At 37.9% G+C, this 16,469-nt stretch overlaps 1 long non-coding RNA gene across 1 annotated transcript in view; it reads right to left on the bottom strand.

The window, feature by feature from the left end:
- LINC01692 (long intergenic non-protein coding RNA 1692) overlaps positions 1 to 16,100 on the bottom strand; it is a 217,197-nt gene extending 201,097 nt beyond the window's left edge. The window contains exons 1-2 of the long non-coding RNA NR_046198.3: positions 15,922 to 16,100; positions 11,721 to 11,871 (exon numbers count right to left, since the gene is read on the bottom strand). This is a non-coding gene — a long non-coding RNA (long intergenic non-protein coding RNA 1692). The remainder of the gene's footprint in view (positions 1 to 11,720; positions 11,872 to 15,921) is intronic.
- Positions 16,101 to 16,469: the final 369 nt, after the last annotated feature.

The raw sequence follows: 16,469 nt of genomic DNA, 5'->3' as shown, positions 1-16,469 counted from the left end.
GTCTTGGGACATTCCAGCATTCACATGTTCATTTCTTCGTACATTCACTTTCAAATTCAATATTACATTATTCTCTGATCCAGACACTGCAACTATAGTCCCAAGGGGTAGAAAGTAAAAAGTCAATAACTTGATGATGCAACATATTCACATCCATGGAACCTATCTATGTATCTGTATGTATACTTCAAGTCTCATTTAAAACATGGAATGGCTGCTCTCTGCATTGCCCCCCACAGACAACTTTTGTTTTTTCACAGCATGTAGTCTCAAGGTACTTTAATATTTTAAATGACAACTCAAGGCTATGAAATTAAATTTTCCAGCATTAAAATTGGAGGTCGTGCAATCTGTTATAACCTAGCTTCAAAAGTCATTGTTAAGAGCTGAAGTGCACCTCTCTGCCCCCAACCAATTTATATGTTGAAGCCCTAACACTCAATATGACTGCATTTGGAAATAGCACCTTTAAAGAAGTAATTAAGGTTAAACCAGAACCTAATGGTGGGGTCCTAATCCACTATGAGTGATGTCTTTATAGGAAGAAGAGACACTAGGGAAGGACAAATACCAAGGAAAGGCCAAAGAAAGACACAGAAAGAAAGAAGCAGCTGTCTGCAACCAAGGAGAGAAACCTCTGGAAAAGCCAAATCTGCTGGCAACTTATTTTGGAGTTCTAGCCTCCAGAACTAAAAGAAAAAATAAATTTCTGTTGTTTAAGCCATCCACTCTGTGGTATTATATTATGGCAATACCATAGTCAACTAAAACAATCATCCGGCATAACTTCAGTTATACTCAAATGGTTGAAATAGTACTAGCCCACCAGATTTTAGGAGATGACAGTCTTAATGAGAAGACTGTCAAGTAATTTGCAATCATATTCTAAAGTCACCACATATTATTTTTTTTTGTTGATATGGAATCTCTCTGATATCTGACCCATATTTGAACTCATGTTATTGCCTTTATCGATGAGAACTTTACCTGTAATCACTTGTGATCTTTTGATGATATAACCGATGGTGATAGGTTTGTAGTAACTATTGCTCTGTGAAGACAATGCACCAGCAAACTCTGAGTTCTATGTTTTTACCTTAATCACCATGTTTGTCCTTGCATTTGTTGTTGCAATAGAATGTAGCTGTACCCAACTCTACCAGGGACAAGCAGTTACCCAAATTAAAAAAAAAAAAAGAAGAAATCTGCTAATGACTCTGGTAAGACTGAGTTAGTGTTTCTTGAAATCTCTTTATGCCTCAACTCAATCCTCTTGGTTTATCAATTTTTCTTTTTTTTAAGGTAACTTAGAAGAAGAAATCAATCCTCGTTTATTTTCTAAAACATTGAGAGTTAGGGTAGTGCTTCAATACTACTGAAACTTTCATATTTTAGAAAAAAATCCTTGGGTGCTATCAGATGAATGGTAGGCAAATTCAAGAGATAATACTTCAAGAGAAAGAGGAAGCTGTTTTTTTTTTAGTCTTCAAAGTCTCTGTGTTTCCCAGCATTTTTTTTTCAGGGATGTATTTCATTTTTATTTAATTTTTAACTTATGAATGACCTCCTTTCTTGCTTCTATTTCCCTATTATTACTATTTTTAATGGTCTGGGAAGAAAGAGTCACTTATGCGGGCCATTAAAAATGAAGTTTAGGCCGGGCGCGGTGGCTCACGCCTGTAATCCCAGCACTTTGGGAGGCCGAGGCGGGCGGATCACGAGGTCAGGAGATCGAGACCATCCTGGCTAATATGGTGAAACCCCGTCTCTACTAAAAATACAAAAAATTAGCCGGGCGTAGTGGCGGGCGCCTGTAGTCCCAGCTACTTGGGAGGCCGAGGCAGGAGAATGGCGTGAACCCGGGAGGCGGAGCTTGCAGTGAGCCGAGATCGCGCCACTGCACTCCAGCCTGGGCGACAGAGCGAGATTCCGTCTCAAAAAAAAAAAAAAAAAAAAAAAATGAAGTTTAATGAAAGCGTGTACATTAAAAAAAAATCCTTCACTATTAGAAGCCAATCTGAGGAAGAGCCTCTTCTGGTTTCTAGGGAATTTACTGAAGAAACTGCATCCAGACGACGCATTCAACACATTTTACACTTAGAGCCTAAAGTATGTTCATTTCTGAAATTCAACGCAGATACATCTAAACGAGCTGACAATGAACAAGAATATTTTTCCTCATTATTGTCTGTCACATTAAACTAAGTAGGGGTTCCTGTAAATTAAGTAAAGTTTGTTTACTTCTAAATATCATCAGACTGTTTTTTTTTCCTTTCTGCTTCTGCTGGTTATGTGTAAACCAAATGTACCTTGATGGGAAGTGTTTCCCCCTAAGAAATCAATGTCATTCACATAGATTGATATAGTGAAGCAATGGAGAATAAGGAAAATTCTCCAAAATGAATTTTCCTAAAAATGAAACACACTGTGAATTGAATAGAAGAAAAAGCATGTTATGAATAGGAGGAAAATAGCCCTGTTTTCCTACAACAAACAGGCCCTCAGCCAAAATACTGTTGCACTTCTGACTGAGTTTGGGGCTATTACTAAAATGGAAATAAAATGTTATTTGTAAAAGATATTTTTTATACTCAAATCTGCATATATATATTCTGTAGCTAACATTTACTACTTATATTCCATGGAAACAGATGCTATACAAATACAAGGATGTACTACTTGTTCATCCGGTAGGCAAATTAGGAATTTTATATCCATGATTGGAGTTTTTAAACATAATCAAAATGAGCATCTTCAAATTTTTTCTTTTCAGAGTGTTATAATTATGCTACATAGTTCCCTCTCAGCTTTAACAGCCAGGTACTTATATTTTTGGCCCAAATTTTGGTCTCAACAAGGCTGGTAAATATACTTACAAAAAGCATATAGAGCAAAATTGACGCAGTCAAATGTTCTCTCTGTATTAATGTGGTTTACTCATGCTAACCACACTTTGTCTCTCCTTCTCATATTTTGATCATTTTACCTAAGGGGATGTACAGAGGAACTGTTCCGTGGGGAAAGAGACGGGTAGTAGTAGAAGACTCTGTCTATATCTTTATGTGAGCAAGGATATGTCAAGTCAATGGGTTAAGCATCAGCTAAATACTTGGACAGGCAAAATGCCATGAAAAATACCTACATCACTTAAGAAAGGGTTGAAACTAGAGAATTATAACATAGTCTCAATCCTGGAAAATACATAGTGAGAAGAAAGATTAAAGGAAGATAGGTATCATGGTGCTTAGGAATTGGGAACTGAGGCAAAGTTAATAAGATAATTAGGGTAGAAAGAAGCTTTGAAAGGTCCTTCCTACAACTTGTACTCAACACGTCACATAACCAGCATGGAAAATGGGCTATATTATATATTGCCCCAGACATGCATTTGCATAAATACTCATACATAATTCACTGAAATGTTTCACAGTGTAGCACATTCAGTGGTCTGCTGTAGCTTACCTACAGGGTTCTAGATTCCAGGGTCAAAGTTTCCCTGCAAACTTGAATGTGTGCATGTCATTTTAATTTTTCTTTGGAGACAGAGGCATCTTGGTCCCAGTTCTATTCATCTTTCTTAAAGCATCTGAGGCTAGGGTAGAAGATGATCACATCAGTAGAGAGTGGCTTGCAGCTAACAGGCAAGGTACATTTGCTTTCAGTTTCCAATGCCTCAATCAAACAGACTTTAAATGTGTCTGGTCCATCAGGCTGTGAGAATATCATGACTGACACTATCTATGGCAGTTTTGAGAATCCCTTCTCTCAACAGTGCCAGTCACACTGCTTTCTGGGTTGGGGCCAGTGGATGTTCTCCCTCTGAATGATTCAAGTTTGACTCACACAACCATGACTCCTTTAAGGAGTACACCTAAATCCACAGCATCTCCTGCACCATTACTAAGATAACATCTCTATAATTCTTCCCAGTTCTCTACATAGTATCTAGTGAAGTTTTCCATGGCACACAAGGATAAACACAAAAAAATATACCTAGATTGTTTGTTTCACATTCTGCAGCGGGATGAAGTCACAGCTACGTAAACCCAATCTAAGGCTATAAAAACCTTGGTACTAGTTAACGTTTCATTGATATTTTTTTCCCATGGGAATTCATCTCTTTGAAGGAACTATCTCCTAGAGAGCCAAAGATCCATTATTACAGTTAAGACCTACTGTACAGGCAGTCTGAGATCTTTTACTGTCTCATCCCAACAACTCTAAGAAGTGTAGGAAGGTCTAAGCCCTAAGATGTCCCAGCTATTGCCATTTTTCCTTTATAAGCATTACACCCTTTACTTTTCCAAAGAGAACCAGTGGAAATTTAATAATTTGCCTGTTTTCTGCACAGAGTAGTTGTAAATTACTTCTTTTTCTGTCCAGAGTTGGTGTGCATCTCTGTAAACTGCATCTGAAAAGAATTTAGATTTTCTTTTTTTATTTTATTTTATTATTATTATACTTTAAGTTTTAGGGTACATGTGCACAATGTGCAGGTTAGTTACATATGTATACATGTGCCATGCTGCTGTGCTGCACTCATTAACTCGTCATTTAGCATTAGGTATATCTCCTAATGCTATCCCTCCCCCTCCCCCCACCCCACAACAGTCCCCAGAGTGTGATGTTCCCCTTCCTGTGTCCATGTGTTCTCACTGTTCAATTCCCACCTACGAGTGAGAACATGTGGTGTTTGGTTTTTTGTCCTTGCGATAGTTTACTGAGAATGATGATTTCCAATTTCATCCATGTCCCTACAAAGGACATGAACTCATCCTTTTTTATGACTGCATAGTATTCCATGGTGTATATGTGCCACATTTTCTTAATGCAGTCTATCATTGTTGGACATTTGGGTTGGTTCCAAGTCTTTGCTATTGTGAATAGTGCCGCAATAAACATACGTGTGCATGTGTCTTTATAGCAGCATGATTTATAGTCCTTTGGGTATATACCCAGTAATGGATTTAGATTTTCTATCCACCTTGTAAGAATTTAGATTTTCTATCCACCTTGCACAGATTTAATACTAGTTGTTAAAGTGAGGTGGACCAGAGGCTGCCTGCCAGTTAATGAGTAACTCTCCCTCCCCAGAGGAGTTAGTAATAACCAGATGCTATTCAGTATTTTATTCTGCAATCACCCATCCAATTCATCCTTGATTATAGGCAATAAAATGGAGGACCACTTATAGAGCTGTTGACCATACAATTTGTCATTTTCACCATAACTTACACAGGCTTCCCTCAAATCCTCTCAATCCGTCCTCAAGGACCTTAGTTCTCTTCTTCAGAACACATCTGTCACTATCACATGTCCACTGCCAAAATTGTCAAGAACGATGAAGAGTCTGAGATTTTATCTTATTCGTCAGTTAACAAATTATGAACACTGCCTTTTTCTGGTGTACAGTCTATGTAATTTCTACAAACGTCTGTAATTATTTGAGGATATCACATAGATGTCTCCAGCAGATGAATACAAGCCACAGCATAGAGATGACTGATCAAGTTACAACCAGACAGGGTTTGTCTGCTTGATCCTGATATTTTAGGAAAACCAAGCTTATCTGTTAGTGTTACAATTTATGCATTATTTAAATTGGATTTGGAACGCACGAATCTATCTCTTTAAACAATACATGCTGGGTAAGTCAAATTTCCAACCTTAATATTGCATTTATCTATAGAAAAAAAGCACGATCTCTATAAGGAAAATCACATAAAATTCATCCTTATAATGTATAACTGATGCTATTTGCTAAGTAGCTTTTTATAATATAATCATATCTGGTATTTTCCCAATAATAATGATTTAAATTGCTGTCTTCTAGCTAGCAAAATGATTCAGTGTATTTAAATTTCCTCATTTTCCTGCATCAAAATGGAAATTTGTTTTTTGAAAATGCATAACTATGTATAAAATCCTTTTAAAAGCATTCATTTTATTTGATGAGCTGTCTATTTGGTACTATACCTATGGAAGCAGATCAATTTTAATATAGGCATTAATAAGACATGTTACCCCCTGGTGCCTAAAGGTGAAAATATAATAGGTCTGCCTTCAGAGAAACATTTCTGAATTCATCTGGTGATTGAACCAATTGTTCACTTGAAGACATTTTACTTAATTAATTCCTACATAAGAATTGTCCAATGTATCACTTCTGAAAACAAAATGCTTCCTTAGTGTATTGGTCTTCATTTTTTAAATGAAAAAAGTTAAACTCAAAGGACACTTTGATAATGAATCTAGAAGATAAATGCAGTGCACTGAGTTCACCATTCACTATGTTATTTACATTCTTTCCAGGGCAGATTCTGCTGCAATCAGCATATTTGTATCCTCCAAAATAAAGCATCTTAGGTAACTTAATCTCTTCGATGCACATAAAGGAGATGAATTGGCATTCCAAAACAATTCTTAATGTTTAAGTTACATTATTAACATAGGTTTAAACATTTTTATCTTGGGTGGATGCAGAAAATTCAGTATCAAAATAATAGTGTCTTGGAGCTATCACTAAAGAGGTGGCTGGTCTTTTTGAATGTCTGATTCTATTTCAATATACTTTGGCAACTCTTGTCTCAGATTCAACACATGACATCTGAGCATGGCAACTAATCATTTTATAGGGGGAAGTGTCCAGAGAAGCAAAAGCAACACTAAAAAGAGTAAAAAGCCAAAAATATATTCATTCAAGGAATACCTACTTGTTAATGAATATACACTGGTTTCTTTTCCTTTTATTTAGCAGACTGTGGCCTACCTGTTTTGAGAATGCTTTTTGAAATATTACTTTATGACATTTTGAGAAGACAAATCTGATCATATTATCGAAGAATATTGTGATCATATAGTAATCACCCTTTTAACAGATAAGAATTTTGCCTATATTTTGTACATAAACATGTTCTATAGAGAATTATCAGTATTTTAAATTTATGATATATTATTCTCTTTCCGAACATAACAAATCTAAGTTTGGTCTTCTGATGCAAAGAATGCTGACAGCACATTCTGGCAAAGCAGGTTTATGAACTCAATCTACAATATGCTGTATACTAAGTGGGCACTGACCAAGTGTTCTAGAGACGAGTTGTTTTTGGAAAGGAGAAAATGATTCTTTAGGACGTCTGACTCTTTGTAGAGGGCTACCAGGAAGGGAAGTATACTTGAAGAAGAGAAACCCCTAAATGATGGAATGCCTCTGGCCCAGTGCGGTGGCTCACGCCTGTAATCTCAGCACTTTGGGAGGCCGAGACAGGCAGATCATGAGGTCAGGAGTTCGAGACCAGCCTGGCCAACATGGTGAAACTGCGTCTCTACTAAAGATATAAAAATTGGCCAGGCGTGGTGGTGGGCACCTGTAATCCCAGCCGGGAAGCTGAGGCAGGAGAATCGCTTGAAACCAGAAGGAGGACGTTGCAGTGAGCCAAGATCGTGCCACTGCACTCTATCCTGGGTGAAAGAGCGAAACTCTGTCTCACAAAACAAAACAAACAAAAAAAGATGGAATACCTCCACTTCTTTTCTAACTCCAAATACCAAGTTAGGCTCAGAAAACTAAAAAAATTGAATGTTTTATTCCATAAAAGCACTGTCCTCAGAATTGTTATACATTATACTGTTTTATATAAGATATTCATATATAGTTGAATGAAATACATATTAATCACAGGAAAAACACAGCCCAAATTAAACAAGCCTCAGGCTGTTTGAGAAGCATTTACCTATTATACATGCCTTGATATGTTGTCAATCTAGACCATAACAGATGAGAACTTCTTATCTTACAGGGTCAAGAAAAGGGTTTACTAAAGAAGAAAGTTTAGCAAAGATCCTGAGGAGGTGTACCTTGGAGCCGCATGGCTATGTTGGGGGGAGAGTTTTCATGTATAAGGAAGAAGAGCAAAGCCATGAGTCACCCATGTGTCTGTTGGGTACAAGCATGGAACCATTGCAGCTTCTATGAAAATAAGGAAAGGAGAGAATACTAGAAAGTATAATAAAGAGGAAGTTAAACTGTCGCTGTTTGCTGTTGGTTATGATCACATACCTAGAAAACCCTAAAGACTCATCCAAAAAGCTCCTAAAGCTGGTAAATGAACTCAGGAAAGTTTCAGGATACAAAATTAATGTACACAAATCAGTAGTTCTGCTATACGCCTACAGTGAGCAAGCTGAGAATCAAATGAATAACTCAACCTCTTTTACAATAGCTGCAAAAAATTAAATTAAATTAAATTAAATACCTAGGAATATACCCAACAAAGGAGGCGAAAGACCTCTCTACAAGGCAAACTACAAAACATTGCTGAAAGAAATTATAGATGACACAAACAAATGGAAACACATCCTATGTTCATGGATGGGTAGAATCAATATTGTGAAAATGGCCATATTGTCAAAAGCAATCTACAAATTCAATGCAATTCTCATCAAAATGCCACCACCATTCTTGCAGAACTAGAAAAAACAATCCTAAAATTCATATGGAACCAAAAATAGCCCACATAGCCAAAGCAAGACTAACCAAAAAGAATAAATCTGGAGGCATCACACTACCCAACTTAAAACTATACTATAAGGCCATAGTCACCAAAACATCATGGTATTGGTATAAAAATAGACACATAGTCCAATGGAACAGAATAAAGAACCCAGAAACAATGCCAAATACAGCCAACAGATCTTCAACAAAGAAAACAAAAACATAAAGTGGAGAAAGGACACTCTATTCAACAAATGATGCTGGGATAATTGGCAAGCTACATGTAGAATGAAACTGGATCCTCATCTCTCAACTCAAAATTGATCAAAGACTTAAATCTAAGACCTGAAACCATAAACATTCTAGAAGATAACATCAGAAAAACCCTTCTAGACCTTGGCTTAGGCCAAGATTTTATGACCCAGAACCTAAAAGCAAATGCAACAAAAACAAAGATAAATAGATGGGACTTGATTAAACTAAAAAGCTTCTGCAGAATAACAGAAATAATCAGCAGAGTTAACACACAACCTACAGAGTGGGAGAATAATCTTCACAATCTATACATCTGACAAAGGACTAACATCCAGAATCTACAAAGAACTCAAACAAATCATCAAAACAAACAATCTCATCAAAAAGTAGGCAAGGACATGAATAGACATTTTTCAAAAGAAGATACACAAATGTCCAACAAGCATATGGGAAAATGTTCAGTATCACTAATTCTCAGGGAAATTCAAATCAAAACCACAATGCGATACCACCTTACTCCTGTACGAATGGCTATAATCAAAAAATTAAAAAAAAATCGATGTTGGCACAGATGTGATCAAAAGGGAAGACGTTTACAATGTTGCTGGGAATGTAAACTAGTACAACTGAAAGGAGTTAGCTTGCCTTAGGTAGATAGCAAAGAAGGGTCCCCAGAGAGCCCCTGGCCCATAGGTCAGTGCCTCATCCTCACATAACATAAAAAGCAGCCCGGGAAAAAAATCAAGCTGCAGACACCATAAGGGAACTAGCACATGGTGCTATGCCTAGAGACATGGCTACGGCTGCACAGATAGAAAAACCTCCGGCCCATTTGGATAAACACTTGCACAAACCTCTGGCTCACTCAGATTAAAAAAAAAAAAAACAAGGCCCAGCGTAGAAATGCCTTTGTCCCTTGTATAATCAGTGGGCTCCCAGGAAAAAGTTTCTTCTCTTTTTGTGGGCATGGCCACAGTGGGCTCCAGTGGGTTCCAGTGGGCACTCTCCTTTCTTTTTTTTGATTGTGAGCCCGGCCTCTATGAATCATCGCTTCAGCCCCTGATTGGTCCTGGACCAAGGTCTCAGGACAAGCTTTTACTTCAGCTCCTGACAGGTCCTGAGGCAAGCTGAGTAGCCTCCATACATCATCGCTTCAGCCCCTGATTGGTCCTGGGCCAAGCTTTCTAATTGGTCCCAGACCAAGGTCCTGGGCCAAGCTGAATCACGCATTCTCTAAGACAGTCTATGGACTGAGCACATTTATTCCCCTTCCCAGTCCATAAAAACCCTGGACCCTAGCCTCAGAGGGGGCACCCCCTTCCGGCTCCCCCCTCCGCTGGCAGAGAGCTTTCTTCTTTTGCTTATCAAAACTTTTGCTCGAACCTCACTTTTGTCTCTGCTCTCCTTAATGTTCTTGGAGGTAGGACAAAGAACTCCAGGTATTACGTCAGACAACAAGAGACTGCTTGGTTGTCTGAGCACAAGACAATCTTGGTGCATTGCTGAAACTAAAACACGACCACTATGAGTAACAGTGTGGGGAGTCCCTAAATAACTAAACATAGATCTACCATTTAATCCAGCAATCCCACTACTGGGTATCTACCCAGAGAAAAAGAAGTCATCATATGAAAAAAGATACATGCACATGCATGTTTACAGCAACAAAATTTGCAATTGCAAAAATATGGAACCCGACTAAAAGCCCATAAATCAATGAGTAGATAAGAAAATGTGATATATATATATATATATATATATATATATATATATATATATATATATATATCAATCACACCATGGACTACTACTTAGCCATAAAAAGGAACGAAATAATGGCATTTACAGTATCCTGGATGGAATTGGAGACTATTGTTCTAAGTGAAGGAATGGAAAATCAAACCTTGTATGTTCTCACTTACAAGTGGGAGCTAAGCTATGAGGATGCAAAGGCATAAGAATGATACGATGGACGTTGGGGACTTGGGGGAAAGGGTGGGAGTAGGGCTGAGGGATAGAAGACCACACATTGAGTACAGTGTACACTGCTTGGGTGATGGGTGCACTGAAATCTCGGAAATCAGCACTAAAGAACTTATTCATGTAAACAAACACCACCTGTTCCCCAATCACCTATTGAAATAAAGAAGTTAAAAAAAATTTTTAAAAAAGAAACAAAAAAAAGTGTAATAAAGAGGTAAGCACAGAGTGCTTCATATACAATTCTAAGGACTTTGACTGTTATGGTGACTGAAACAGGAAACCAATGGATGGTTTTGAGAGACATGACTTCTGCCTTAACTGAAGATTTCTTGTTACTTGGAGAAAATATACTGAATAGAGAGCAAGGGCAGAACGGGGAGACAAATTAGGAGACAATTGACATAAATGTGATGATGTCATGGAGTATGTAGTATAAATGAAAGTAATCATATATGGACACATTTTCAAAATATTTTAAAGTTAGTATCAACAGGGTTTGTTAATATATGAAACATGGAGTAAAAGATAAAGAGAACAGAGAAGGAAGCTAAAATATTCTTGCTCTCACTTTGATTTTATGTTGAGCTCTTTTAAGAAATAAATTCAAAGCTCTTGAAAGTTATACCCATGTCATATTCCTGCAAGTTACCTTAGACCTGGGTGGTGCCCTGAGTCCTGAAGTGTGTTAAAGATTCACTATCTCTTTTTTGGGTCAAGTTTCTTGCTTATTCTTTCTGTGTTCTCTCAGAGTGTTGTACTTAAAAACCCATCAACTTCCCCCATTTTCCCAAGTGAATTTGAACTTGTATAAGAGGCAATAATCCCCCAATTCCTCTTTATCTATCTATTCATCTAAATATAGACGCTCCTCAACTCATGATAGGGTTATGTCCCTATAAACTCATGATAAATTGAAAGTATTCTAAGTTGAAAGTGCATTTACTATACCTAAACTACTGAACATCAATCATAGCATAGACTAGCCTACCTTGAACATCCTCAGGACACTTACATTAGCCTGCAGCTGGGCAGAATCATCTGACAACACGGTACGCTGAAGAACGTCGGTTGTTTATCCTACTGATTTGCTGGCTGACTGCCTAGCATCTGGAGAGAGCATCATACTGCATATCACTAGCCTGGGAAAAGATCAAAATATAAAATTTCAAGTATAGTTTTACTAAATACATATTGCTTTCACAGTATCCTTTAATTAAACATAAATTGAACTATAGTTAAGTTGGGGGCTATCTGTACTTACGTAATGTAATGCTTACAAAATGCCAGCCACATTCTCTAATTTATATAGAGCTTTATCACTCATTCAGTTCTTACAGCAATACTTTAAGGTAAATGTTACAATGACCTCTGATTTAGAGATTTAAAAACTGAGACACAGAAGGCTTAGAGTGAGTCTGCAAGGTTACTTAGTGATAACTACAGAGCCAGGATTCAAATGCTATGGGAAATCCCATGCTCCTAACTGCTCCAGATTCTCTATGTTTTTATATCTATTTGACAGGTATATTCCTGGGCATCCCATATACCTCGAATAAGCATGGAAAATAAAAGTAATGTAAGAAACTCAAGAGTATAAATGCATTTTTGAAATTAAAAATAAGTTTTGGGAGTTTATTATATAACATTTATAATTTTAGGTTCTTGCTTTTCACTTATGCAAATTAATGTCAAAATAAATGTATTTTTGATATTGCATATTCTACATTACTTACAACTTAAATTCAGTTATCAGTTCAATGGGCGTATAACTTATTGTCAAACTGGAAAAATGGTGACAGTGAAAGAGAATGGTATTAATAATTATGCCAGGACAATAGGCATAAAGGATTGTCACAGGCAGTTCCCTTAGAGGTGGGTCTATGCAGATACAATGAAATGGCTTTGCTTCTTCAACCTAAGCTGCTAGATTGATTCTCTAATTAAAACAATTAATTCAGGTTTTCTATGCCATACTACACATTTTTGGAAATGCACTTTTTTACTTTACACAGTAAAAATCTGCCACTCTGGTAAATGAATACTCATAATTGTAAGTTTGTTTCCTATTGTCTTGTTAAATTTCCTACTGTTGTAATTGTATTCATTAATCATTGGGTGGAGAATATAAAGCATTTCCATGAAACACCAGGCTGTGAAATGGGAAAGTGACCTCCAGCTTGGAAAATCATGGCTTTAGGATCTTTATATTTGTTTTCTAAATTGTTTTAAGCTTTTCCCAATGTTTACATTAAAGCAGGAGACTATTAACTTAGCACTATGGTTATAGTGCTATGTAAGCATAGGCATATAAATAGATGTCCTGTTTTTCTTTTCTTTTCTTAGCAATATGATCCCCAAACTCAAAGAAACAGAAACTTTTTCCCTTATTGTCATTCCTGGTGTTGGGGGAAGGTAATATATCCCAGTGCATAAAACCGTCCTCATATTCTGGATATATTATCCTCTCTTATAAGCATCCCAGTAATAATATCAACAACATGTTATGATCATGTTATTCCCCTACCATAACAAAAAAAAAAGGAGGAGTTTTCACTGTATACAATCTGAAGTGTGACTTCTTACCATTGCTGAAGGGTGTTAATCTATTCTTTTTTTTTTTATACTAAAATACTTATTTCTCCTCTTCCCCCCTGCCCATTTTAACATCTCTGAACCTGAGAAGGGAATACCAATCACAGCTGGTCTGGTGGCAGTTGTGGGGATATACTACTGTCAGACTACTCTTTATGAACCTGGTCAATAACTGTTCATGTTATCAGCACTTCTATTATTTAAATAAAAACAAACTAAAATTTTCGACTTTTGTAACATTTCTAGTTGTTAGAAAGTTATTGCATTGTACTTTTCATGAAAGCATTATTTTTTTCTTCTAAATATTGCAGGTAAATTCAATGAAGCATCTTATAATCAATACGTCTTAAATTTGATGGAGTACAGAAGCTTGCAGAGATTATTCCTAAATGCTTTTATTCATGTACCTCATATTTTGGACACATAGTTCTCTCTTATAAATATCCCAGTAATATTATCAACATCAGATACCTCCTAATGCAATAATAACACAGCATAATTTCTGTAGTGTATATTAGACAATGCAAATTGATATGTATTCTACAAAATGATTGACCAGTAATCTTCAATAGTTTCAAAGTCAAGACAGACAGAGAAAATACTCCATATTAGAGGAAACTATAGAAATATGCCAACTAAATTCAATGTGTGAGCCTGAATTGGATTCTGGAATTGAAAAGGAATATTAGTGATACAAAGAATAAAAGTTGAATAAAATCCCTAGATTGGCTAATAGTATTGCATTAATGTCAACTATTTTTTATAATTGCACTTTTTGATTATATAAGTAAACGCCACTTGGGAAGCTGGATAGGTAAATGGGTTCTGCGTTATTTCTGCAACTCTTGTAAGTATACATTTATATCATTATAAAAGTTAAAAAATAAAAATATAAAAAGTAAAATGCATTTTATTTCAAAAGAAAGAAAAGAAACCAAAGTTATATTTTAGAAAGATATCTATGGTAACTGATAAAATTTGATTTTATGGATTATATTAGAAAAGTAGAGAATGTGAACTGATGAACTTAAAGAAAGGGACTAATTGAAGAAGCATAACACACGGCCACGCACACAGTGCTACTTCCTGAAAATTAGATTTCTGAATGGCGCCACTAAACTTCAGGTACTTTTTATGTTCCTAGGATTGTATTACAGGAGTTATTAAGAAATTATTTTGGCCGGGCGCGGTGGCTCACGCCTGTAATCCCAGCACTTTGGGAGGCCGAGGCGGGTGGATCACGAGGTCAGGAGATCGAGACCATCCTGGCTAACACGGTGAAACCCCGTCTCTACTAAAAATACAAAAAATTAGCCGGGCGTGGTGGCAGGCGCCTGTAATCCCAGCTACTCGGGAGGCTGAGGCAGGAGAATGGCGTGAACCTGGGAGGTGGAGCTTGCAGTGAGCCGAGATCGTGCAACTGCACTCCAGCCTGGGCCACAGAGCAAGACTCCGTCTCGGGAAAAAAAAAAAAAGAAAAATAAAGAAAGAAATTATTTTAGGCAGCTAGAAAGGGTAAAAGAGTCCTCGGTAAGGCTTTTTTTTTAATAATAAAGCAGCCCCCAAAACATTTCTTTTCTGACAGAAAGCAGCCTGAAAAACCAGACCTGCAAGCATCGATATGCAAGTCACAGGCTTGCATATGTAAACGCAGGTGGCTCAGAGCCAAGTACACCCAATATGGCGGTTCCCGCTACTTTTTCTTTGTTGCCACGTGTGCAGACATCATGACAGTGAGCCAGGTAGAGGCCATGTGTACAGGTATCATGGCGACCAGCCAAGTAGTCACATTTACATAATCAAAGTTAGGGTGGGAGGGACTTTTTTGGGGGGGCTATTTGAATGACACAACTGGTCAAGTCAATCCCTTGGGCCCTATGCAAATCAGACGCCACCTCCTCAAGCCTCCCAGTGTAACCTACTGCCTTCCGCCCCAGCAGGGTTATTCTGTTTGGAGCCCTCCTCCCTTTGTAAGGAAGAACTGTTCTTTTCTTTTTCTTGCTTACTAAACTTTCCAGTCCTTAATCCGCTCCACGTGTGTCCATGTCACTAATGTTCTCAGCACGAGACCAAAAACCCTGGGTGTTTCCCCAGACAATGGAGCCATATCAATTGGACCAATAATCATGTGAGTCACTGAAAGACATGCCTTTGACATGTGCATTCATTTAAATTACTTTACATCTTTTTAATATGAAAAAAATAGATTCACCTTAAAGGTAATCAGTATTTCCATTTTAGTCCTATTTAAAGAAGAGTTTTAAGATTAACTTTCAGGAGGGACTATTGTCAAGAGATTCTTGGGCACTTATACATAGGATTAACAACATTTATTAAGGCCTATGATAAGGTAGCCCTTGTGATAGATGATCAAACCAAATATAAACACAAAACCTGTTTGTCATGGTGAATGGAAAGTATAGACAAACTAGCTGAATAAATATGTATACATTAAACATAGAGGGAACATGAATAATTAACTCCAATGACAGTGGAAGTTAGTAATGAAGACATTATTTTTTAGAGGGTAGAGAATTCCAAGTGATTTGCAGTTAATTACCTTTAACTATTTGAAAATACTTTCCATTATAATTTACCTTTTCTTGTTGCTGTTGTAATGTCAGCTGTAAAGCTTAGTATTGCTATTTTGTAGGTAAAATTTCCTTTACTTCCTCCTATTGAGAGGTGAAAACGTGCTAGCAGCCCTTGCTCGCTCTGGGCTCTCGGCGCCTCCTTGGCCTCTGCGTCCGCTCTGGCCGCGTTCCAGGAGCCCTTCGACCCGTCGCTGTGCTGTGGGGGCCCCTCTCTGGGGCTGGCCGAGGCCTGAGCCGGCTCCCTCTGCTGGCGGGGAGGTGTGTGGGGAGAGGCGCGGGCAGGATCCATGGCTGCGCGAGGCGCTTGCAGGCCGGCGCGGGTTCCGGGTGGGCCCAGGCTCAGCGGGCCCTGCACTCGGCGCGGCAGGCTGGCGCCTGCTGGGCTTGATTGGGGGACGAGCTCCCTCTGGGCTGCCAGAGTGCCTGGACTAGGTGCCGCAGTAAAATCCTGGGCGAGCGCTATTGAGAGGTGAAGCCGGCTGGGCTTCTGGGTTGGGTGGGAACCTGGAGAACTTTGCTGTCTGGCTAAAGGTTACTAAACGCACCAGTTG

This window comes from Homo sapiens, chromosome 21, assembly GCF_000001405.40.
Source record: "Homo sapiens chromosome 21, GRCh38.p14 Primary Assembly".
NCBI classification, from domain to species: Eukaryota; Metazoa; Chordata; class Mammalia; order Primates; family Hominidae; genus Homo; species Homo sapiens.
Note: the sequence above shows the minus strand (reverse complement) of the source record. Positions and strands in the feature narration are given on the sequence as shown.